The sequence below is a fragment of the Homo sapiens genome, chromosome 15 (assembly GCF_000001405.40).
Source record: "Homo sapiens chromosome 15, GRCh38.p14 Primary Assembly".
Taxonomy (NCBI): domain Eukaryota; kingdom Metazoa; phylum Chordata; class Mammalia; order Primates; family Hominidae; genus Homo; species Homo sapiens.
Genome location: NC_000015.10, coordinates 77936080 through 77961106, shown reverse-complemented (window position 1 = coordinate 77961106; position 25027 = coordinate 77936080). Strand labels below are relative to the sequence as shown.

General features: G+C 50.9%; 1 pseudogene across 1 annotated transcript, besides 4 other annotated features; it reads left to right on the top strand.

The window, feature by feature from the left end:
• Positions 202-747: an enhancer, noted in NCBI's record as "OCT4-NANOG hESC enhancer chr15:78252702-78253247 (GRCh37/hg19 assembly coordinates)". NCBI's record gives its function as "activates a minimal SCP1, AML or CMV promoter by ChIP-STARR-seq in naive H9 embryonic stem cells {active_cell/tissue: H9 hESC(naive)}" and the evidence as "EXISTENCE:reporter gene assay evidence [ECO:0000049][PMID:30033119]".
• Positions 1406-1700: a silencer, noted in NCBI's record as "tiled region #9982; HepG2 Repressive DNase matched - State 4:PromP". NCBI's record gives its function as "represses a minimal TATA promoter and a strong SV40 promoter by Sharpr-MPRA in HepG2 cells {active_cell/tissue: HepG2}" and the evidence as "EXISTENCE:reporter gene assay evidence [ECO:0000049][PMID:27701403]".
• Positions 8958-9458: an enhancer, noted in NCBI's record as "H3K4me1 hESC enhancer chr15:78243991-78244491 (GRCh37/hg19 assembly coordinates)". NCBI's record gives its function as "activates a minimal SCP1, AML or CMV promoter by ChIP-STARR-seq in primed H9 embryonic stem cells {active_cell/tissue: H9 hESC(primed)}" and the evidence as "EXISTENCE:reporter gene assay evidence [ECO:0000049][PMID:30033119]".
• Positions 16386-16680: an enhancer, noted in NCBI's record as "tiled region #89; HepG2 Activating DNase unmatched - State 1:Tss". NCBI's record gives its function as "activates a minimal TATA promoter and a strong SV40 promoter by Sharpr-MPRA in HepG2 cells {active_cell/tissue: HepG2}" and the evidence as "EXISTENCE:reporter gene assay evidence [ECO:0000049][PMID:27701403]".
• On the top strand, positions 16546-22886 carry COMMD4P1 (COMM domain containing 4 pseudogene 1; annotated as a pseudogene). Its single transcript, NR_157580.1, has 5 exons — positions 16546-16724; positions 18654-18719; positions 18943-18982; positions 19306-19425; positions 19585-22886. The product of NR_157580.1 is annotated as a COMM domain containing 4 pseudogene 1 (transcript).
• The last annotated feature ends 2141 nt before the right edge of the window (positions 22887-25027 follow it).

Sequence of the window (25027 nt, the reverse complement as noted above, 5' to 3'; positions counted from 1 at the left end):
TAATATTTTCAGTTTATATATTTACAGCCCAGTTTTCCACTTGCTTACATACATATTTGTGACCACGAATGTCATTCTTAACTGAGAAAAGTTTCAGTAAGTTAATTTTTTTCTCACATTATCTATGAATATCTTATTCACATAAAACCAAATTTCTAACCTAGATTTTAGGTTGAGACAGAAACCCATAGTCATTAGTTGCAATGTGAGAATGACAGAGAGATATTAACTAGCAGAATCCAACTATAAAAATAAATTTAAGAGCACAATTCTCTACTCAATGTAGAGTTGTACTCTACTAATGACTCCCCCAGACAAATCATTACTTGGATAGCAATGAATCAACTAAAAATGGAAGTGAGAAAAGTTAGAGTCCTTTTTGCAATGGATGGATGTTTATGAGACTATTAAGTGAAGAGGGTTCAGAAACAAGGGGATAAAAGGCATGCTAATTTGGGGTTGAATGGAGTAATGAGATGATCTTGGAAACATAAGAATTGCGCTTAATGGGACTTGTCTACTTGCAATTCAATAAACCAATATACGTAAATTCAAAGAGACAAAGGACATGAGCACTCAGAACAAAACCATAGGAATACGGCCAGGTGCAGTGGCTCAGGCCTGTAATCCCAGCACTTAGGGAGGCTGAGGCGGGCAAATCACCTGAGGTCAGGAGTTTCTGACCAGCCTGGCCAACGGGGTGAAACCCCATCTCTTCTAAAGATACAAAAATCAACCAGGCGTGGTGGTGGACGCCTATAGTACCAGCTACTTGGGAGGCTGAGGCATGAGAATCACTGGAACCAGAAGGCGAAGGTTGCAGTGACCTGATTGTGCCACTGCACTCCAGCCTGGGCAACAGAACGAGACTCCGTCTCAAAACAAACAAACAAACAAACAAATAAAAATTTGCAGGAATAAATGTAGCAAAGAGGCACCAGAGTTGATATAAGGGTCACTGTTCCACATCTGACATCTTTAATTCTTGAGTCATGGAGATGGCAAGCCAAGAACAGAATCTTCTGACTGGAAGCTAAAACCAGCCTTTGGGATGGGTTCAGAGAGACTGTTCAGACTCAAGATGCCAAGGCAGATGTTGCCTGGTCGAAAATATCACGAATGCAACAGCATTTTCAAAAACAGTGGGCCTTGGGGAAAGAAAACGCTGTGTGTTTAAAAAGAAAAAAACAATTAAAAGAATAGAAACAAGGAAGAAAAAGTGATCAGACAGTAGGGTGACCAGAGGTTCTGGTTTGCAAGGTACAGCTAAGGTTATGACTATCCTGGTGCAATTATGATAGTGCCCCCTTTCACTTTCCGAAGTGTCTGGATTTGGATGATAAAGCATATGCTCACCCTACCAAAGAGAGGAAATTAGCCGGACGACCCATGTGTCCATTTTAAACGGTGTGGGCTGATCCACAGCTGCGTGCCGCTGCCCAGCTGAGCGGTGTGCACCACCTCTGCCTCGCCCTACCCCACCCTGCCCGAGTCTCCAGGAAGGCTGGAACAGAACCCTCGGTTCCCGCGCGGCTCTGGTGCCACCTGCAGGTTATATGGGGGAACTGCTTCTCCCCACCCCAACCCTGGACAGACTTGGACTTGGCCAAAAGACAGAGCACGCGAAGCCCCGGCAGGGGAATGGGCTGGACCCAACAGTGAAGTTCACGTTACAGAATCAGAAGGGCCCAGCTTAAACCAACAAAGCCCAGCTCCTCCTCTTCCTACCCACTCCTGTCCTGTCTCATTTTGTAGAAGGGAAACTGAAGCCTAATTCAGATTTTTCATTGGTAGGATTGTGAAGCATACAGCTGGAGCCTCCCAGGTGCCATTCCCCACATCTCTGTCTTTCCCCTAATACGTTAGGATAGTGGGGAAGCAAGCGAGCTTAAGCTTACTAAGCTCCTACTGTGTACTGGCCAGAGTGGGCACTTTTCTCTCCAGCCTTGCAATTGATGGGAAATAGGTGATTACACAGCTAGGATACAGGATTAGAGTGGGCTAGCGATGTGCTTACAGTCTCTCAGCTGAAACTGGAACCCAGTGTGAATATGTCAGTCTAAATGGAGAGCTCTATGCATGTTCCTCTCTATTCCCTTTGTTACCAATACCAATTCCCAAGGCAGAGCCCCAGGAGGGCTGGCCTGAAGGACCTGGAGGTTAATAGAAAACAGCTCAAGAGTGGTGTACACGTCACTGGACTTTGGATTTCCCCTGCTGTGTTGGAGCCTGTGATTGCTTCCGGCAGTAAACTGAGGACACTGTAGGGTTCACCTTCTTTTAGGGATCATAGTTCTGCTCGACCTGTTCTCCAATGTCCGAAAACTATTGTTTTATATATGTTGTTCCATTTTTCTAGTTGTTCAAGGTGGGAGGCAAATCTGGTCCCTGTTATCAATCATGGCCACATGTAGAGGTTGCAGGATGTTGTTTATATATCTTTTTTTTTTTTTTGAGACAGGATCTCACTCTGTCACCCCAAGTGGCACCATCTCAGCTCACTGCCACCTACACTTCGTGGCCTCAAGTGATCCTCCCACCTCAGCCTCCCAAAGTGCTGGGATTACAGGTGTGAGCCACTGCGCCCAGCCTAAAATTGTATCTTTCTTATTATCAGTGAAGTTAAACATTTTTTCCTGTGTGTCAGTGGCATTTGCATTTTTCTTTGAACTTTCATATATTTTTTCAATTTTTCTTAGAATTGTTGGTCTTTGTCTTCTCTACTTTTAGAATAGAATGAATATGATATTAATCATACTTCGAATTGTGGCCATGATGGAGTACCTGAATTGATGATGGTCTCCCAGCATAAACAACTACAAAGCTGGACAAAGTACATGAAGAAATTGTCTTCAGGCATTGGGCAATAGGCAGTTCCAGGTACAAACTGAGAGAAGGGAATCACATGAAGTGACTGCTACATTTTTCTGGTGGGGAAAGTTTCCAAACCCTCAATGACAGCATGAGGAAGCAGAGTCCAAGCCAAGAGGATCAGTCTTGTTTGGTGGAGGAAACAGGGACTGCCACTCAGGGCTGCTAAAATGTGTGTGGCAGAGTATCAGAAAGGACGGAGTTGCAGAGAAGGAGCCCCAGAAATCTTATAGAGGTTGTTGCAGGTCCTTGGCCAAATCCCAAACTACGAATGTGTGGATTGAGACTCTGCAAGGCCCAGCACAGAACAGCCGATGGGGAGCTGAAAGCTAAACATCGATTTCAGTGGTCACAGAGTGCTGGGGATACACCCGAATTCTGGCTCAACCAGAGTCTCCACTCTTGGAATCTCAGGTCTTGATGAATATCCCAGACATTCACAGAGGGCCTAGAAGGCCATGCCTTGGGATTAAGGAAGATTCCCTAGGAATAAGGGCAAAACTGAAAAACAGCTCACCCTAACAAAGCCTAAAATGTAGCCTTGACACACATGATCAAGTTAACCCATCAGTAATTTAATTCCCTGCAAAACAAAACTCAACACTAGAGTAGGATAACATAATCCATATCTCTACAATGAAGGTTCACAATGTCCAACAGATCAAGAAATACTTACTAGATAAGTGAAAAAGTGAGAAAATACATCCTAAAATTAAGAGAAAACCAGTCAATACGAACAGACCCACCATGCATGGTGGCTCATGCCTGTAATCCCAGCACTTTGGGAGGCCAAGGCAAGTAGATCACTTGAGCTCAAGACTTCGAGACCAGCCTGGGCAACATGGCAAAACCTCATCTCTACTAAAAATTCAAAAATGAGTTGGGTGTGGTGGTGTGTGGGGGTCCATAACCCCCAGGCTGTGGGCTCTACCAGTCAGTGACCTGTTAGGAACCAGGCTGCGCAGCAGGAAGTGAGTGGTGGGCAGCGAGCATTACTGCCAGAGCTCCGCCCCCCATCAGATCAGCAGGCATTAGATTCTCCTAGAAGTGTGAACCCTAATGTGAACTGCACATGCGAGGGATCTAGGTTTCACACTCTTTATGAGAATCTAATGCCTGATGATCTGAAGTGGAACAGTTTCATACCGTAACCACCACCCCCAACCCCGTCTGTGGAAAAATTGTCTTCCACGAAACCAGCCAGGACTGCTGGTGGCATGTGCCTGTGGTCCCAGCTACTTGGAAGGCTGAGGTGGAAGGATGGCTTGAGCCTGGGAAGTGGAGGTTGCAGTGAGCTGAGATCATGCCACTGCACTCCAGCCTGGACAACAGAGTGAGACCTTATCTCAAAGAAACAAACAAACAAAAAGGGCCAGGCATGGTGGCTCACACCTGTAATCCCAGCACTTTGGGAGGCTGAGGCAGGCAGATCACCTGAGGTCAGGAATTCAAGACCAGCCAGGTGAGGTGGAGGTTGCAGCAAGCTGAGATGGCGCCATTGTACTCCAGCCTGGGCTACAAGAGCAAAACTCCATCTCAAAAAAAAAAAAAAAAAAAGAAAAAGAAAAAGAAAAGACCCATAAATGGCTCACACATTAGAATTATTAGGCAAGAGCTTTAAAGTAACTGTACATACATTAAAGAATTTAGAGAAATATCAACACCTGTGAAGGATGGTGAAAAAAGAATAGAGAGAAATAAGTTTTAGTATAAGTATGTCCTAAATATGCATGGTACGTACTTACTAAAAAAAAGTTGATTTTTTATCAGAAATCTAAATTCAACTGGGTGTCCTATATTTTATCTAGCATCTCTACCCCAAAGCCAAGCAGGAGAGAGTCCAGAGTCCTATCTTCCAGCAGGTGACCTAGCCTAGGACAGGGCCTGGCCAGGGGCAATTGTGCATTGGATGGGTTAGAGATGCCAGTCATTCAATGTGTCAAAGGTTTGCCAGACCTGCATAGAATCAATATTATTTTTAATATTTTTGTCTAAAGCAACTTTACAAATTTTAACCTTTTATTTGGAAATATAGATTCAGAGGAAATTTCAAAGATGGTACAGAGAGGTTTCATGTACTCTTCACTCAGCTTCCTCCAAAGGTTCTATTTTGTATAAATGTAGGACAATATCTAACAATGTCATGTCTATGCCATTTAATCACATATGTAGACTCCTTTAACCACCACTACAATCAAGACACAGAACTGTTCCACCACCATGAAAATCCCCCTCCTGCTATTCCTCTGCACTCATTCCTGGCTCTTCCCCTCCACTATTCCTACTCCTGGCAACCACTAATCTGCTTTCTGTCTTTATAATCTTTTCACTTCAAGAACATTATAAAATGCAACAATTAGCCAGGCGTGGTGGCACCAGCTTGTAGTTCCAGCTACTTGGGAGGCTGAGGCAGGAGAATCACTTGAACCTGGGAGGTGGGGGCTACAGTGACCCTACCACTGCAGTCCAGCCTGAGAGACAGGGTGAGAATCTCTCAATGAATGAATGAATGAAGGCCTGGCACGGTGGCTCACACCTATAATCCCAGCACTTTGGGAGGCTGAGGCAGGTGGAACTGTTGTGGCCTTGAGTTTGAGACCAGCCTGGCCAACATGGCAAAACCCTGTCTCTAGTAAAAATACAAAAATTAGCCAGGCATGATGGTGCGTGCCTGTACTCCCAGCTACTTGGGAGACTGAAGCATGAGAATCACTTGAACCCGGGAGGCAGAGGCTGCAGTGAATCGAGATCATGCCACTGCCCTCCAGTGTGGGCCACAGAGTGAGAGTTCATCTCAAAAACAAAATAAAACAAAACCAAAGAAGAAAAGAACATTGTATAAATGGAATCACACAGTATGTGGCCTTTTGAGACTGGCTTTTTTTTTTTTTCTACTCAGCAAATGCCCTTTGAGATCCATCCAAGTTGTGCATGTTCCTTATTGTTTTTTTCTGTTTGAGATGGTGTCTCACTCTGTCACCCAGGCTGGAATGCAGTGGCGCGATCTCAGCTCACTGCAACCTCCACCTCCTGTGTTCAAGCAATTCTCCTGCCTCAGCCTCCTGAGTAGCTGGAATTATGGGCACCCATCATCATAGCTGGCTTTTTGTTTTTTTGTTTTGGAGATGAAGTTTTGCTCTTGTTGCCCAGTGCAATGGTGTGATCTCAGCTCACTGCAACCTCTGCCTCCCAGGTTCAAGCAATTCTCCTGCCCCAGCCTCCTGAGCAGCTGGGATTACAGGTGCCCGCCACCATGTCCAGCTAACTTTTTGTATTTTTAGTAGAGATAGGGTTACACCATGTTGGTCAGGCTGGCCTCGAACTCCTGACCTCAGGTGATCTGCCTGCCTCGGCCTCCCAAAGCACTGAGTTTACACGCATGAGCCATCATGCCTGGCTCCCTTTTTATTGTTGAATAGTATTTCATAGAATAGATGTAGCAGTTTGCTTAACCATTCACCTATTGGGGAGTATTTGGTTGTTTCCAGTTTGGGACTATTACAAATAAATCTGCCATGAACAATCATGTATGAGTTTTTGTGCAAAAATCAGTTTTATTTTCTGGTACAAATGCCCAGAAGCAATTGCTAGGTCATATATTGAGGTGTATGTTTAACTAAAGAAGCTGCCAAACTATTTTCTAGAGTGTCTGTAAAATTTTATATTCCCACCAGCGATGTATGAGAGTTAGTTTTGTCTGCATCCTCACCAATATTTGATACTATCACTATGCTTGATTTGAGCTGTTCTAATAGATCTGTAGTAATATCTTACTGTGGTTTTAATTTGCATTTCCCCAGTGGTTAGTGTTGAAGATCTATTCCTGTGCTTTAAGTCAACTCATTTTTAAAACCTAAATAAATGTATTTAAAAAGGAAACTTTTGCTTTAGGAGGCCAAGGCAGGTGAATTGCTTGAGTCCAGGAGTTTGAGACCAGCCTGAGCAACATGGTGAAACTCCGTCTCTACAAAAAACAAAAAAAATCCAGCGTGGAGGCATGCACCTGTGGTTTCAGCTACTCAAGAAGTGAGGCAGGAGGATTGCTTGAGCCTGGGAGGTCAAGGCTGCAGTGAGCTGTGATTGCATCATTATACTCCAGCCTGGGTGACAGAGCAAAACCCTGCCTTAAATAAATAAATGAATAAAAGGAAACTTGTGGTTAGTGGTTCTCAGAGTGTGGTCCCTGAGCCAGCAGCATCAGCATCCCCATCAGCTGAGAACTTGTTAGAAATGCAGATTCTCAGGCGCCACCCCAGACCTCCTGAATCAGAACCTCTGAGGCGTGGGTTCAGCGACCTGTGGTTTAACACGCCCTCCCGGTGAGAATCGGTCTCATTCACTACAGATAGAAGGAAATGGTAAAAATCAATTCATCCGCATATCGCCTAAAATCCTCCTGTGGGCCCCAGGTTGGCACAGCACACTTTTGGGCAGGAGCCCCACTCACAGAGGCCGTGACAAGAATGCTCCTGCCCCTGGGGTTGTGCAGTGACAGCTCACACAGCTCCACGTGGCGGTTCTGAGTTTGGGAAGCGCTGATGTAGTCCTACTGCAGCCCTTCCTGCCCTTCACCGGACTGAGGAAATCCAGGCTCTGAGGAGGGCGAGACTTGCCCAAGGTCACCCAGCAACATGGTCAGTCTCCTTTCCCAGGGCCCTCACAATGCGTGGCCTGTTTAAAGCCTGCCTCTATTCACTGCTGAGTGAAAAATCCAGCTCCAAAGTAGAATATGGGGAAGGATACTATCTTGTGCAGCTTATGTTTATAGCTGCAGATACATGAGAAAAAAAGTCTGAAAATACTGTTGAAGTAGTTACTTGGGGAGAGAAGGGGTTTGCTGGTTTTTGTGTTTTTAGCTTTTATATTTCACAATTTTTATCACAATGTTTAGTTACATAATCAAAATTTATTAAATGTTAAAAATTGACATGAAGCCTGATCCAGCCACAGCCTATCATTGGCAGAGCCAGGAAGCCTTCCAGATACAGCAGCCCTGCACCTGCCCCCGGTCACACCCTGGGCCTGGGCACATGCTAGGTCCTCTGTCTGGACACCCTCACCCCCTGGTGGCCTCCACGTCAGTACCCACCAGCACCTCCTGTGGGCGAGGGCCGCCCCTGCATCCAGCCCTGGGCACCCCCTAGCCCAGAGGGCACCTCATGGTGTGAGAGTCCACCTGCCTGTCTCTAAAGAGAGGAAAGCTCCTTGGGACATGTGTTCTGCTTGACCCATCACCTCTGGCCTGGTACAGAAAGGTGGACAGTGGGTATTTGGTGAATAAATGAATGAATGATTGGAACGAACCCCCTAAATGGTGATTTCCTGAGGCCCTTCTCCAGCTGGCCCAGGTGGAACCAGTTCCACGTTTCACAGGAAAGCCAGGTGTGAGGAGTGGGGCAGGTGTGTGTGAGGGGCCAGGTTCTTGAAGGCTGCATGGAAACGGAGCTGGTGGCAGGTCTGGGGGTGGCAGTGCTGCTGTAGGAGCCTCAGGGAGGGCTCATCCCTGGAATCCCCCAGGGTATCCTAGTGCCCCCAGCTGCTGCATGGCATGAGAATTCCTGGCTGGTGGGGGACACACAAGGACTTGTTTGGATTGGCCACCTGGTCCAGCCCAAGGAGCTGCGCCTCCAGCACCTTGGGGGAAAAAAAGCACTTTTGATGTGTGACAACAGCTGCAGGCAAGGGGAGGGAGAGGTGTGCTGGGCCTCGGCCTTAGAAGCCAGAAGCCAGTTCATGCCCCTACTTGGTCTACGTGGGAAAGGGATGTGGCCTCGGCTAGCTCTAGGGTCCTGGGTTATGGAAAGGGCCCTTCCTTATGGACCCAGTGACTTAGGCTGACCCAGCCCCTCCCTGAGCCTCATCAGTGAAACCAGGGCTGGGCCAGGGCTCTCAACACCTCCCAGCTCCAACCTCTGGCTTTGTCCCAGGAGGGCAGGAGATCAGACAGAGGTGACCCGGGCTCCCTATTTACCTCAACCTCCTTGTGAAGCCTCCCTCTTTCTGCCTGTGAGGTGGGTGGGGCTGGAAAGAGGGGCATTCACCTGTGGGTCTCTGACTTCTCTGCCCAGGTGTGCCTGGGGAGTCTGGTCTATACCCGGTGCTCTGCTATACCCCACAGCCTGGTCACAACCTCCCTGCCTCCAGAGCAGCCCTGGCCCAGGGAAGAAGCGGGTCTCTGCATCCAATGATAGGTAGAAAATGAACGTGGGGATGATAGCACTGGAAAGGAGTCAAGGAGGAGGTGCCTTCCCAAGGATGTGGAGGGTTTTTCCAGAATGGAACTTGACTGGGGTGGGCAAACATCAGGAGGTGGGAAGGGTGGCTCCCTCTGTGGGAGCTGGGGCAACTTGCCTGGGCCAAATGGTGGTAGGCTGTGGGTGTAGGGTGGGCAGAGCTGGGGTGCCCAGAGCCTGGGGTCCCTGTCCTTGCAGAGGACTGGAATGCAAAACAAGTGCCCCCTGCCTTCTGGCTGCGGGACATCCTCTGCTTCCAAGCCCAGACATACACCTGCTGCCACAAGCCCCTGAGGCTCTTCAGAGGACCAATGGGCAGCCACACCCATGCTGGGCCAGCCTGCTGGGCCCACCTGCACCCTGGTCAGAGCCCATGACTGAGGGGACTCTCTGGGGGCAATGGGGGCAGTCCCATGCTGCCCTCTTACAGGTGGATCAGTCCCTGGGATCTGGTGCTGGGCTGGGGTGGGCTGAGGCTGTTCTCTGCTGGGGTACCTGGTGGACAGCAGGTGGAGCAACTTCTCCTTGGCTTTCCTGGACCCCAGGACACAGCTGAACACTGCACTCTACCCTGGATGCCTTCAGATGGGACCATGGGAAGGAAGAGGGGCTACCCCTGCAGGGGGCCAGGACCCTGGCCCATGCTTGCTCCCCGCAGCAGGCACCTCCTCTCCAGATTGACATCACCTGATTCCTGAAGGCCTGGGCTACTGGCCAGAGTCCCAACATCCTCACCAAGGTCTGTTTTTACATCAGAGCAGCTAGTACATGAGTTCGGAGCTGAAGGGGGCGGAGAGAGAACACAGGGCTCTGTTAAGAGTTCTTGGCTCCCTGCTGTGGTGGGCCCCGTAGAAGGCCCCCCAAAAATTTGCAGCTGCTATAAGTCACTGGGAGGAAGCTGCAGCAGACACGTGTTTCTCAGCCTGGTAGATGCAGAGGGGTGTCCGGACCCCCAACTGGGAGGCCCAAATGTGGCAGTGCAGGAATTCTAGCCAGCTCTGGGACCCTGGGCAAGTCATGTAACCTCTCAGAACCCCATTCCTGGTCACCATGGGGCTCTTGTGTGGATGTAAACAACCCTCAGGCCACTTATGTCCCATCAGTGGAAGCCTAGCATGGGTGGAGACCCCCGAGACTGAACTCAGTGGCGGGATCCAGCCTTCCCAGCTCTTCTACATAGAGCCCAGAGCTAGCAGGGTGGGCTGCCTGGAGAAGCAGGCACTCCTGTGGGCTGGAGAACATGAGCAGTGGTCCCTTTGGGAAGGTGGAAGAGGCTGTGGTCAGTGGAGGCCATAATGGGGCAGAGGTTGGGCAGAAGGGGCATGATCGGGGGATCTGAGACCCAATAGAGACTGGACTGAGGACTCTGTGCCACTCAGGCAGTGGAAACTGAGCTATGGCTGGGACCCATGGTCCTGAGTGAGGCCTGGCCAGTCTTGGAAGCTGTGCCAAAGGTGGCTTCATGTAAGGGTGCATCTGAGCACTTTTTTTTTTTTTTTTGAGATGGGGTCTTGCTCTGTCATCCAGGCTGGAATGCAGTGGCACGATCATAGCTTACTGCTGCCTCAAACTCCTGGGCTCAAGTGATTCTCCCACCTCAGCCTCCCAAAGCGCTCAAATTATAGGCCTGAGCTACAGAGCTGGGTTTTAAATCTTAATATCTCCTCCTGGTCTGCTTCCCTGGCTGACACACATGCTGGCATCTTGCGCCTAGACAAACATGTTTCTGGACTTGGTTCCATTTGTTCTGACGGGCTTCTCTCTCTCAATGACCGCACGTTACATTATTTGGCTATTCTTACACATTTCCGTATAGAACTGAGGGTTAGTGTATTAATGTCAAAGTTCTACTGGTTTTTCGAGGCTGGGTGGAATGTTTGGGTTAATTTAGTTGTGGGCATCTTGACAATATAGGCTTTTCCTCCAGGAATGGTGATTCTGGGACGCAGGTTTTGCACATTCTGGTTTATTGCTTGGCTCGCTGCCACAGAGGGATGGCACTGCTCCACACACCATGCCCTAGAGATGTCCCACCTTATCTGTCTAAATCAAGCTGGATGTTCTCAGCTGACAGGATATCATATCAGTGCTGTGGGGACTCACTCCCCTCAACCCGAGACGAAGTGAGGTGGAGACTATGGAGCAGATCCGTGCCGACTGCATTTGCCCTTCCTGACCCGCACTGCTGCTGGGTGGGGCTGTGTCTGAGCTGATAGAGGGCATTGATTTGGGCATGGGGAGGGGTCAGTACTGGAGAGATGCCCCTCACCTCCCTTAGCTCCTCCTGTCCACTCAACACTTGGTCACCAAGGCCCCTGACTTCCAGGCCTCAGTCACCACTAACGAGGTGCTGCATGGGAACAAAGCGTAGGCCCACAACCTGGAGTTCAGGTCACTCCTCCTTCCAGTTGAAGCCTCTATCCCTCCCAGGTGATTCCAGCCTCATTTCTCCATGGGCCAAATATCCTAAACAAAGGCCTGGACAGGGGGTCTTTATCCGAGTGCCCAAAAAGCACATGCAGAAAGGCTCTGCATGCCCCCTGTGGCCTGTCAGAGGTAAGAGCCTGCCCGTCAAAATGCACAATCCTGGTTCTTGCAGGGAGGTGAGGAGGGGAGGAAGAAAAGGTCCATCTCATTCCTTCAGCAGGAACCCAAACTTGGGAAAGCCAGACACAGTACATTTCTTAATGATCCTGACACTTTTATAACTGGTTACAGCTGGGTCACATGCACAACTGTTTTCCAACATCTTTCAATGGGCCACATAATACCTTGTAATTTTTTATTTTTATTTTTTAAGGCTGGGGGAGTGGCTCACACCTGTAATCTCAACATTTTCAGAGGCGGAGGGAGGAAGACTGCTTGAGGTTAGGAGTTTGAGACCAGCCTGGGCAACACAGCAAGACCCCATATGCAACAGAGAAAAACGCTGTCTCAAAAAAATTTTTTTTGAGTACAGTGGCATGATCACAGCTCACTGTAGCCTCCAGCTCCCGGGCTCAAGCGATACTCCCACCTTAGCAGCTGGGACTCTCAGAGCGCAGCACCACATCTGGTTAATTTTTTTATTTTTGGTAGAGATGCAGTCTATGTTTCCCACGCTGGTCTTGAACGCCTGGCCTCAAGAGATATTCCCAATGCGACCTCACAATGCACTGGGGTTGCAGGCATGAGCCACCATGCAGCCCCTGCAAAATCTAACTGTCCTTCAGGTGCTCCTTTTGGACCTCCTAGCTAGACTGCCATTGGCAAATGCCAGTTGATTATCCACCCACATGTATGTTAATGGATTTCCCATGTTTTATTTGTCTAGACCAGGCTTTCTCCACAGCAGCACTGTTGATGTTTAGGGCTGGACAGTTCTCTGTTCTGGAGCTGTTTGCGCCTCGCAGGATGTTTAGCAGCATCCCCAGCCTCCGCCTGCCACATGCCAGCAGCACTCCTCAGTGTGACAGCCAAAGTGATTTCAGATACTGTCAAATATCCCCAGGGCGGCAAAATCACCTCCAGTTGAGAACTGCTGACCTAAAACCCTCTGGAACAATGTTAGATCATGGTAATGATAGCGCATACTGCTCCTGACCTTAATGGGAATACCTCTAGCATCAAAGTATAGTAGTACCTGTATACTACTGTCTGGGCTGTTATTAGTACACTGTATTAGTCCATTCTCATGCTGCTATGAAGAAATACCCAAGACTGGGTAGTTTATAAAGAAAAGAGGTTTAAATTGACTCACAGTTCTGCATGGCCGGGGAGGCCTCAGGAAACTTACAATTATGGCAGAAGACACCTCTTCCCAGGGCAGCAGGAGAGAGAAGGAGAGCCGAGCAAAGGGGAAAGCCTATAATAAAACCAACAGATCTCGTGAGAACTCACTCACTATCACGAGAACAGCACGGGAGAAACTGCCCCCATGATTCAATTATCTCCACCTGGTCCCACCCTTGACACGTGGGGATTATTGCAATTCAAGGTGAGGTTTGGATGGGGACACAGAGCCAAACAATATCATATCCTTTATATTAGCATACTGTATCGAAGTATAATTTTCTTTCTTTTATTTTATTTTTTCTTTGAGACAGAGTCTCGCTCTGGCTCTGGCTGGAGTGCAGTGACACGATCTCAGCTCATGGCAACCTCTGCCTCACAGGTTCAATCAATTTTTGTGCCTCCACCTCTCAAGTAGCTGGAACTACAGGTGTGTGCCACCACACCCAGCTAATTTTGATTTTTTTTTTTTGAGTACATATGGGGTTCAACATGTTGGCCAGGCTGGTGTCAAATGCCTGGCCTCAAGTGATCCCATCAATACGACTTCCCGAAGTGCTGGGATTCCAGGCGTGAGCCACTGCATCCAGCCTGAAGTATAATTTTCACAATGTGAAAAGCTTGACTTTCATACAGATAATGAAGGAATATGTATAAGATATTTTCTTTAATTTACAAGGGAGTCAGCAACACGGTGAAGCTAGTTAGAGGAGCGTTTTGAGAGACAGTGTCTGTAGTGCTCCAGGAAGGGCATTCTGAAATGCATTCTGAGATAGAGACAAAACTTGTTAATATCCTATAGGCAGGCTGGGCATGGTGGCTCACACCTGTAATCCCAGCACTTTGGGAGGCCGAGGTGGGTGGATCACCTGAGGTCAGGAGTTCAAGACCAGCCTGGCCAACATGGTGAAACCCCGTCTCTACTAAAAATACAAAAATTAGCGAGGTGCGGTGCTGGGCGCTTGTAGTCCCAGCTACTTGGGAGGCTGAGGCAGGAGAATCACTTGAACCCGGGAGGTGGAGGCTGCAGTGAGCCGAGATCATGCCACTGCACTCTAGCCTGGGCGACAGAGCAAGATTCTGACTTAAAAAAAAATCATATTGGGAAATAAAAATGTCATCTTTGGGAGTTATCTTTTCTACTGGACAGAATTCTGTAAGTTAACATATATACATATTCTCCAGTATATTCACAACATATTCTGTAGTATATTTCCCTACACTACTGCTTTTCAAAGCATGGTCTCAAATTGGAAGCATCAGCGTCACCTGGGAACATAGACATGCAGTGCTTAGGCCCCCCCTCAGTCCTACTGAGTTAGAAACTCTGGTGTGAGGCCCAGCAGCCGGTTTCACAAGCCCTGCAGGGGATGATGATGCACTCTAATGTGTGAGGACCACTGCTCTAAATAGTCAATCTTTAATAGTAAAACAAGTATCTATGAAACAATGCTCCAGTATGACATTAAAAGGGCACACCATCCACCTTTTAACTTTATTTCTCAATTTAGATATTTTGTCTGATGTTAAATTTGCTGTTTTGTTTCTCAAATACTCTTAAGACAGTTTTCATCTGTTCCTAATTTTCTCTTTTTAAATAAAAAATGGTTTTCCAAATCTGTCCATTTTACTCTTCTTTAACCTATTGATAGGATGAAGTAAAAGTTACCTTTTTTTTTTTTGAGACGGAGTCTCACCCTGTTGCTCAAGCTGACTGAAATGCAGCGGTGCAATCTCGGCTCACTGCAGCCTCCATCTCCCGGGTTCAAGCGATTCTCGTGCCTCAGCCTCCCGAGTAGCTGGGATTACAGGCACCCGCCACCACGCCCAATTCATTTGTTTTTTTTTTTTTTAGTAGAGACAGGTTTTGCCATGTTGGCCAGGCTGGTCTCCAACTCCTGACCTCAAGTGATCTGCCTGCCTCAGCCTCCCAAAGTGCTAGGATTACAGGCATGAGCCACTGCGCCCAGCCATTTTTTTTTCTTTTTTCTGAGACGGTCTCCTTCTGTTGCTCAGGCTGGATGGAGTATAGTGGCGACATCATGGCTCACTGCAGCCTCCACCTCCCATGCTCAAGAGATCCTCCCACCTCAGCCTCTTAGGTAGCTGCGACGACACGTGTGCACCAGCAGAAGCAGCTAATTTTTTGTAGAGACCGGGGTCTCCCTATGTTGCCCAAGCTGGTCTAGAACTCGTGGGCTCAAGCGACCCACCGGCCTTAGCCTCCCAAAGTGTTATGATTACAGGTCTTATGTCCTTAAAGTTTTTCTTTGACATGGTATAGGATAGTCTAGTAACTTAACATACTGTGGTTTTCAACAGGCTAGTGCTTATGACTTGTAAAAGAACTCTTCAGAAATGAGCTCAATTTTACCATGAATTGGGACACTTTCCATTTCTTTCTATTCTATAGAGCAGTTTACTTGCCATGAGCTGTCTTTTGAAAACTTGAAAGCCTGCAGCAATAAAACCAGCTGCACCTGGTGCATGGGATAGGCATGGAATTGAGGAGAGAGTTCAAACTACGGTCAGCCCTCTGCATCCTCGGGTTCAAGATCCTTGGATTTAACCAACTGTGCATCAAAAATATTTGGAAAAAGTAAAACAATAAAAAGCAAAAAGTTATAAATACTTTATAACAGGTACTTACAAAGCACTTACATTGTATTAGGTATTATAGTAATCTAGAGATGATTTAAAATATACGGAAGGATGTGCATAGGTTATATGCAAATACTATGCCATATTATATCAGGGCCTTGAGCATCAGTGAATTTTGGTATCTCTGGGGTCCCGGAACCAATATCCTGAAGTTACTAAGGGATGACTGTCTTCAGTTTCTTCTTTGGTTATTAGTTTATTCTCTGATGTATTTTTGTTGTTGTTTTGTCTTTTTGTTTTTGCCTCTGCAAGTCAATGTCGGAAACTTAGTTGTTCCAGGCTACCATTAGCTCAGAGCTACCAGTAAGCAGACTACCACTGCAACCTAAGCAACCGATTTTTTCCCCCATCAGACTGGCAAAAATTAAGCATCTGTTGATGTTGAAGCTGTAGGGAGTTTTCCTGAGCATGTTAATTATGACAGCCCTTTTTGTTAGGCACCTAGACGATTCATCAAAATGAAATAAAATACCCATGCGCTTGAAGAAGTTATCTGGTTATTTCCTTATCTGGGTGCTGGTTATGTGAGGTGTACAGTTGATGAAAACTTATTAAGCTTTATATTTCTAATAGGTACAATTTTCTGTATGTGTAGTAGACTTCAATAGTTTTTAAAATGTCTTTTGCCACAGTCCGCAGCTGTGTATAATGCTATTCGCTTAACAGTGGAAAACATGACAATGACCTGAATCCCCCTGGCTCCCGGGATCCTACCCCCTTAAGTTAAACAAATGAAATAACTTCCACTGTCTTTCCTAATGCCTTAATTCGGTCCTCAGTTAAACTGACGGTGGATGCTGTTTTTTTCCAGGGAAGGATTCTGGGAGACGGAGGAGGAGACGCCAGCATTTCGCCCCCGGCACCTCCAGCGGGCTGCGGTCCGCTCCCGGCCTCACTCGAGCAGGCCCCGCCCTCCCAGAGGCCGTTAGTCCAAGTCAAGTGATCGTCGACTCAGTTGACCCTGTCGGACCGGAAAAAGAAATTCCCGGGCCCTGGCTTCCTGGTGCGATGATGAGGCACCAGGGGTGAAGCGAGGCATGGGCTGCTGGAGCGGGAATGAGGGGGCGCCAGTGGCTCCGGAAACGGGTGGAGGTTGTCTGCCCTGGCCTCTCCGCAAACAGTGTGTGCGGGCGTGAGAAAAGTCCACCGCTACTCCGCTCCCGAGACAGGGGCGGGGGTACGGGGCGGGTAAGACAGCGCAGGCCGGCCGGCTTAGAGTCCCCGTGCTTCCCTGGGGAAAGGAAGGGCCCCTGCCTCCCGGGGCAGGAACTAGGGCTTGTCTGGAGCTGGGAGTCCTTTCGGGTCTTCCCCAGCCACAAGAGGACCTCCCAAGGACACTCCCTTCCCCAGCCCTGCTGTGGGACTTAGACAAGAACGCGCTTAGAATTAGGATCACACTTCCACACTGTTAGGCAGCCCCTCCGCTGTTTCCAGAGTCAGAAAGTAGTAGTTTTGGGGTTGAGACTTATCCATCCATCCATCCAGTCCATCCATCCCTACGTTCTAAGCGCCTAGTCTATACCATGAAGTGTGCTAGGCACTGGGAGGACCTGAGCTGCTGAGGGAAGGGGAAATCGGAGCCTTGAATTGGAGTCATAGTCAAGGCTCCAGGGGCAGAGACCTAACTGCGCCTTGTGTGTAGTGCTAAGGGGGCTTCCTGAGGATGCCTTCAACCTTAAAGGCGGATGGATGGCAGGAGCTGGCTGGCTGAAGTACAGTTTGTGTACCAGGGGTTGGGAGGCAAGGGTGGGAGGCGTGTGTCTTCAGACAGGGAACAGCATGTGCAGAGACTTCAGGTTAGAGAGAGCATGACTCCCCAGGAATGAATGCATTTCCCATAGCTGAGAGAGTATTATCTGCAGGTTAGGGAAGGATGAGGCTGGACAAGTAAAGACCAAATCTTCCTGACTGTTGGATCACCACAATCAAGATAATGAAATATCCACCGGCCCCCAAAATTTCCTTGTGTGAGGGGCTATTTTAGGAAGTATCATCAAGAAGGGCGGGCCTGGCTGGGTACAGTGGCTCACGCCTGTAATCCCAGCACTTTGAGGGGCCGAAGTGTGCAGATGACCTGAGGTCAGGAGTTCAAGACCAGCATGGCCAACGTGGTGAAACCCTGTCTCTACTAAAAATACAAAAAAGCCGGGTGTGGTGGCACATGCCTGTAGTCTCAGCTACTTGGGAGGCTGAGGCAGGAGAACTGCTTGAAGCTGGGAGGCGGAGGTTGCAGTGAGCCAAGATTGTGGATTGTGCCATTGCACTCCAGCCTGGGCAACAGAGCGAGACTCCATCTTTAAAAAAAAAAAAAAAAAAGAGGGGCTGGTCTGATGAGGTGTCACTTGAGCAGAGAGTGGAATGAAATAAAGGATAGCAAGCCACGTAGAGAGTGCAGCAGGCATGGAGGCGGGAGCAAGGCTGGTGTCCCGGAGCAGCAGCAGGGAAGCCGGAGTGGCTGGACTTGTGTGGGTATGGGGAAGAGGGGAGAGAGGTCACTCATCTGTGTGAGGCACAGGACTTTGTTTTATCTCCTGCTGTACCCCCAGCTCTTAGAGTGGGAGCTAGCACAAAGAAAGGTGCTCAATTGATGTTTGCTGAGCAGATGAATGCCTGGAGTAGACCAAAGAGCAGGGTTTGGTGGCAGGGTGGGTCAGGGAGAGAGTTTACTCAATAGCCTGGTGATAGGGGAGAACAAATGGCCAGAGGGTGTCCATCTATGATGGGGACCAGGGGTCCTTGCTGGGCAGCAGTGTGGGAGACACACAGATCCTGGCCACACCTCAGCCTTCCCTCCAGCCTGATTACCTGACTCCCTCCCTTGCAGAGGTTCTGGTTCTGTGGTGATCTGGACTGTCCCGACTGGGTGCTGGCAGAGATCAGCACGCTGGCCAAGATGGTTGAGTGCACAGGGTGTAGTCTGAGTGGAGGAGGGGTGTTGGGGGTGGGGATTGTGGGTGTAGATGATGATGAGGTTTCTCTGGGGTTAGGGCCTCAGTGCTCTCAGCCTGTGCTACCATGCTTTGTGACCTTGATCAGTGGCTGGCCTGCTCTGAGCCAGTCCCCAGGAAGGAGGGGTGAGGTTTGCCAGCCTGGCTGATGTAAGGACTTCCCTTCCAGTCCTCTGTGAAGTTGCGGCTGCTCTGCAGCCAGGTACTAAAGGAGCTGCTGGGACAGGGGATTGATGTGAGTACAAGATCCAGCACCCCATTGTCCCATGCCCTTATGACCCCTCCTGCCCTGAAACTGCACTAGGCCCAGGGAGACGGGTGACCCGGCCTTGCAACCTCTCTGGGCACCTCCCATACTTCTTTCCAGCCTGTCTGTTCCTTATTGCAGGATCCAGGCTGTAGGTGAGGGGCTGGTGAGCAGGGGCCTGGCACCGCCTGAAGGTCTCCTTTCCCCATAGTATAAGAAGATCCTGAAACTCACGGCTGATGCCAAGTTTGGTGAGCACCCCACTGAGTTCACAGGCCCCAGGCAACCCTGGGACCTCGGCCTGGTGCCTGGTACAGAGCCCGCCCCCACCCCCCACCCCCCGCCAACACACACATCCCAGCAGTATCCTTAACCTGCCTTCCCTAGTGGAGGAGCATGAGGGAAAGAAAGACATTGACAGTCCCACCTTCCTGTCCTCTGCCAGCTCCTGGTGGAGCAGTAGCAGTGCCTGTGGCTCCAGGAGGCCTGGGGGCTTTGAGCTGAAGTTAATAGGGCAACAGGGGGGTGGCTGGGCCCACAGTGACACCCCCTGTCCCATGCATGGGTCCCTGAGAGTCAGGCGATGTGAAGGCCACAGTGGCAGTGCTGAGTTTCATGCTCTCCGGAACTGCCAAGCACAGTGTCGATGGCGAATCCTTGGCCAGTGAACTGCAGCAGCTGGGGCTGCCCAAAGGTACGGGTTGTGGGTGGGCAGCTGGGCAGCCTGTGGGCCAAGGGCTGCTAGAGAGGGGACAGGCCCTGTGACCCTGAGGTGTACCCTGCCCTGTCTGGGCCAGGAGCCCAAGCCAGGCCCCCACCTGCTACCTCCAGAGCTTCTCCATTCTACCCCCAGAGCACGCGGCCAGCCTGTGCCGCTGTTATGAGGAGAAGCAAAGCCCCTTGCAGAAGCACTTGCGGGTCTGCAGCCTACGCAGTAAGTATGAGGCCAGCCAGGGTCCAGGCTCATCCTAGAAGGTGCACGCAGCACACAAAGTGCGTGGAGAGTCCAGGGAGACAATTTAACCGCAGTCACATACCGAGCAGCCGCAGAGCCGGGACGTGGCCCTCGGTCTCCTGACCCCGCGCGCTCTGTGATGTGTACGTACAGGATCAGACCTTGCCCTTTCCTCCTGGCTGACCCTTCCTTAGTCCCCCGTGCCCCATGTGTGAGCACCCAGCTCACTCTCATTCCTCCCTCTCCAAAGCGTGGTCCCTGGCAGCACGAGTGGCAGAAGGGACAGCAGAGACTGTGGACCCCTCAGCTGCACCTAAGACCTCTGTGTGGTCTAGCCGTGTGTGCTGGGGGAGGCTTTTGGCCACCATTTCCCCGTCTGTAAATGAGACCGATACCTGTAGCATGGAGGGCAGGAGGCTGGTGTGAGTGCCAAGCACTTGGAGCAGGGCCCTGAGTGAGCATGGACGTGGGAGCAGGGGTGTTTCTCGACTTTGTGCACCTTGGGGATGGGAGTGGGGCTCCCTGCGTGGGTTGACAAGGCATTGTTTTCTCCCACCCCACATTTGTCCCAGCCCTGCAAGTCCAATCCTTGTGGGTCTAGGAAGGAAGAAGCCCATGGCTGTGTGACCTCAGGCTGGTGCCTGGCCCTCTCTGGCTGTGAGTTCCTGGGAAAGTCAGCACCCAAGGCATGCCCTCAAGTTTAGCACTTTGACAAGAAGGGCGGGGACACTGGGATCAGGCCCAACCCTCTGGCCCCAAATCCCACGGCCCCAGCTGGAGGATGAGGAGATGCTGAGCTTGGATGGGGGAATCAAGGGTGTAAAGGGGCCCGCTCACCCCTCAGCTTGGCTCAAAGGTTCAAGGCGTCAAAGGTTCAGCCTGCGACTCAGGAAGGAGACCTGGCCCAGCCAGACACTCACCAGGACAAGGGCAACTGTGACGAGCAGGAGGCCCAGGATGAGGAGAGCCACAGCATAGCTGGAGATAAAGGCATCCAGCAGGCTGGAGGCTTTGGGGCTGGGAGTGCCTAGAGCAGAGCAAGAAGGCCATGGCCTGGCGGGGCTTTGCCTCCCAGACTTCTAAGAAGACAGAATCTGGGCCCAGAAGCTGCTGCGGGACCAGAGAGCTGGGACTAGGAGCACCTTGGAGGGCTCCATGAGGAGGGGAGGCAGGCTTCAGATCAGGGCATGTGGAGGCAGCGAGCCCAAGGGAGGAGGCAGAGGAACAGAGGGAGGCGGGCCTGCAGAGGGAAGGAGGTGATGACCGTGTCTACCAAGACGCCCTCTGCCTCCCACAGGGTGTGCAGGCCCTGGCGTGCACAGTCCCACACGACGGCCTGGGCTGGCGCCACCCTGAAGAAGGTGGCACCCACTCTGGCGGTCAGTGGGTCCGGCCTGCTGAGAGGATTATCACAGATTTCAGGGGGCTGTGCAGCCTTGCGGGACTAGGGGAGGTCATCTTTTCCAGCCTCCTGTCCTCAACCCCACAATGCTGGTCTGAGCCCTGGGTCACCCAGGGCCACCCTGGACCCACCGGAATTCCTCCACCACCACTTGGTCAAAGTTCTGCAGAGATCTGAGGACGAGGGTCAGCTGGGGGTCAGGAGAGGATGAAGAGGGTCACAGCTCTACCAAACGAAGCTTCATTCCTGGTGGTGCCTGGCCCACCCCTCTGCTGCCAATCTCAGGCTGGCCCAGCCCTGCAGAGTAGGTGCCTAGAGGCATCGTAGCAGTTCCTGTCATGCTGGTCTCCCCCCGGGGCCCCCTCTGGAGCCTGGTACCACAGATCTCAGGGTAGGGGGTACAGCTCAGTCTCCCTTCCCCCTCATGCCCCTCATAGGGGCTTGGTCCACCAAGGCCCCTGACTGCTGGGGGACCCACACCCACGGCCCCCTTCTTTCTGACTGCTGGCCCTTCCCCAGCCTGGATACTCGAGCCCTGGGCAGAGGGGTAACGATCCCAGGACTGTCTTCGCAAGCAGAGAGGCTACTTGGCACCAGGCTCTTACTCCTTGGGCTGAGCTCAGCAGCAGGTGTGTCACCAAGGTCCCCTGGGCAGAAGGGGCTCAGCCCTGAGGGCCCATCACTTGCCACGCCTGCATGTTCCTGCTAGGCATCCACCCTGGGGACCCAGCTTCCCCCTGCCCCCAGCTGCTGGCAGCCCCGTCTTGACTCATCCAGGGTCCTGGAGGCCATGCCAGGAAGCAGCCAGCAGCTGGGAGGAGCACGTGGTGTTTCTGCATCTTTTTTTATGGAGCTCCCGTGGGTGGGAGGGGCTACAGACTCAAGGGAGACTGCAGGCCACCCCTTCCCCACTCCCTGGCTGGGTGGGCTTCCAGCTCAGGAGTCTGACTGGAAGGATGGGACTGTGCTGTCCCAGAGGCAGGTCTGAGGAGTCCAGGCCCAGTTTTACCCTCCAGCAGGGCCCCTTTCATTCATTTGTCCAGCTGGCTTTGCCCAAAACCCAGGTGATGTCTATGTGGACTGTGTCCCCTGTCCCCAAGGGGAGTCTGGCTCCAGTCCTGGCCTGGAACTCAGAGACCTTAGAATTAGAGGCCACATCTGGCAGGGAGGACCAGCCAGGGCAGGTACCATGTTGGCAGCCCCAGACCTGACACCACGGCTCCCATGTCCCCTCTCCACTTCCGTCCTGCATATCATCTACGCTACGTGCTGTCTCTGATGAATCCAAGCTGTCAGCTTCTGTCAGCTTGGCCGGGAAGTCACGCTGACCGTAAGGGGAATGGTGCAGCCTGAGTTGGGGGCTGAGTGGGAATGGGCCTGGTGTGGGGTGGGGGAGGTGGGGGCGAGGCGGGTGTCTGGCGCCTCTCTGCTTATCTTCCCTTCTCCTTTGCCCACGAAGGAGGCGTCTTCTCCATGTCCCTCTGCCACCCTGGGAACATAAAATTCTGCCCCAGGTCTGTCTTCCTTTGGACATAGCCCACCTACCTTCCTGTGGGACTCAGGGCTTTGTTTTGTCCTGTGGCCCACATGAGAAGCAATTATCCCTGCCCTGCTCAGCTGAGAGAGGACAAACTGAGGCAGAGCAGGGGAACAACTCTGTCATAGTCTGACTGTTAACGGCAGAGTCAAGACCAGCCCTTCCCTGAGTGTCACGTCCAGTGGACACTGTATTAGTCCACTTTGCATTGCTCTAGAGGAATACCTGAGACTGGGTTATTTATTTATTTATTTTTGAGATGAAGTCTAGCTCTGTCACCCAGGCTGGAGTACAGTGGCACCATCTCAGGACACTGCAACCTCTGCCTCCTGGGTTCAGGCTACTGTCTTGCCTCAGCCTCCTGAGTAGCTGGAATTATAGCCATGCACCACCATGCCTGGCTAATTTGTTGTATCTTTAGTAGAGACAGGGTTTTGAGATGGAGCTTCGCTCCTGTGGCCCAGGCTAGAGTGCAATGGTGTGATCAGCTCACTGCAACCTCTGCCTCCCAGTTCAAGCAATTTTCATGCCTCAGCCTCCCAAGTAGCTTGGATTACAGGCATGCACCACCATGCCTGCCTAAATTTTGTATTTTTAGTAGACAGAGTTTCACCAGGTTGGCCAGGCTGGTCTTGAACTCCTGACCTCAAGTGATTCACCCACCTCGGCCTCCCAAAATGTTGGAATTACAGGCGTGAGCCACCACTCCTGGCCCTGAGACCGGGTAATTTATACAAGAGGTTTATTTGCCTCACAGTTCTGCAGGCTGTACAAGCATCTGCTAGGCTTCTCGTGAAGCCTCAGGAAGCTTTTACTCCTGGCGGGAGGCAAAGAGGGAGCAGACGTGTCGCATGGTGAGAGAAGAAGCAAGACAGAGGAGATATCAAGCTCTCCTGTGAACTAATAGAAAACTCACTCATTGAATCACTCGAACCTGGGAGGTGGAGGTTGCAGTGAGCCAAGATCATGCCACTGCACTCCAGCCTGGGCTATGAGCGAGACTCTGCCTCAAAAAATAAAAAAATAAAAAATAAAAAATAAGAAAACTCACTCATTACCATGGGGAGGGCACTAAGCCATTCATGAGGGATCCTCCACCATGACCCAAACACCTCACATTATAGGCCGCACCTCCAGCATTGGGGATCACATTTCAACACTAGATGTGGATGGGACAAGTATCCAAACTATGTCAGAGGCCTCCCCCTCCCTCTCATCAGAGTCTTCTGTCTTCAGTTCAGGTGCATGCTGGCTTCCATGCCTGGCTTCCTAGGAAGTCATCTTGGCCCCATGGGGTTGGGCAGGGCCACTAGCCCGAGGGTTGGAGCCCTATCTCTCCTAGTCCCAGCCTGGGTCTCCATCATGGGCTAGCCCGCTCTGCTTGCTGCGTTCTCTCCACACCTGCTCCCTGCAGCCCAGGGGTCAGTCTGGGTGCAGGCCTGGGTAGAGGTGCAGGAGCAGACTCTGCCCCCAAGCTCATACCTCCTGTGCACCATGGCAGCCAAAATCCACCAGCATGACCAGGAGTGCTGGCTTGTTCTTGTAGTCTCAGTGTTTTGGGAGGCTGAAGTGGAAAGATTGCTTGAGACCAGCCTGGGCAACATTGCCAGACCCTGTCTCTAACAAAATAAAATTAGGCATGGTGGCATGTGCCTGTAGTCCCAGCTACTCAGATGGCTGAGGTGGGAAGATCACATGAACCCAGGAGGTCAAGGCTGCAGTGAGCTATGATTGCACCACCACACTCCAGCCTGGGCAACAGAGCAAGACCCTGTCTCTAAAACAAGAAACAAAGTGTACCAGTGTGTGGATGCCACCACCTACTGGTGTGTGGACCTGACCTCACTCAGCCCCATCAGTGAGTGGGAGGTTTCCTGCTGTCTTCCAGAACATTCCCACCACTACACCTGTGTTCCTCCTGCATTGTTTGGCAGGCTTTGTGAGGGGACCTGTCACCTACCTCTCTGGCTGCCCTAAGGCCCAGCTCAAACCTTCCCTGCCCCTGAGAACCTTTTTCTGAAGAGTCTTTCCCCCACCCATAGGGCCCCTCATTTCAGAGCTTTTGGTAGGGTGAGTACAAGGATTGACTCTCTGCTACCAGCCTAGGAGGAATTGTCCCTAGGGTTGGGTCTCTGGATGGCATATGGGGGTCTAGACCAGGACCCACATGCCTGTAACCTGAAGGGCAGGCCCTCAGCTGCCCCAACTTCATGGAGCCCCTCGTCCAGCCTGACCTTCTGGACAGGCACAACCCCTGCACCCTTTGGTCTTGGTCCCTGCTGGGACCTCTGGTTACCCTGGCTTACCTACTTTAACTCCAAAGGTAATGCTAACATCCCCCGTGAGACACAGTGACAGACTGAGACTAACGTAGTGTTACCTGGCTCAGAGTCACCATGACC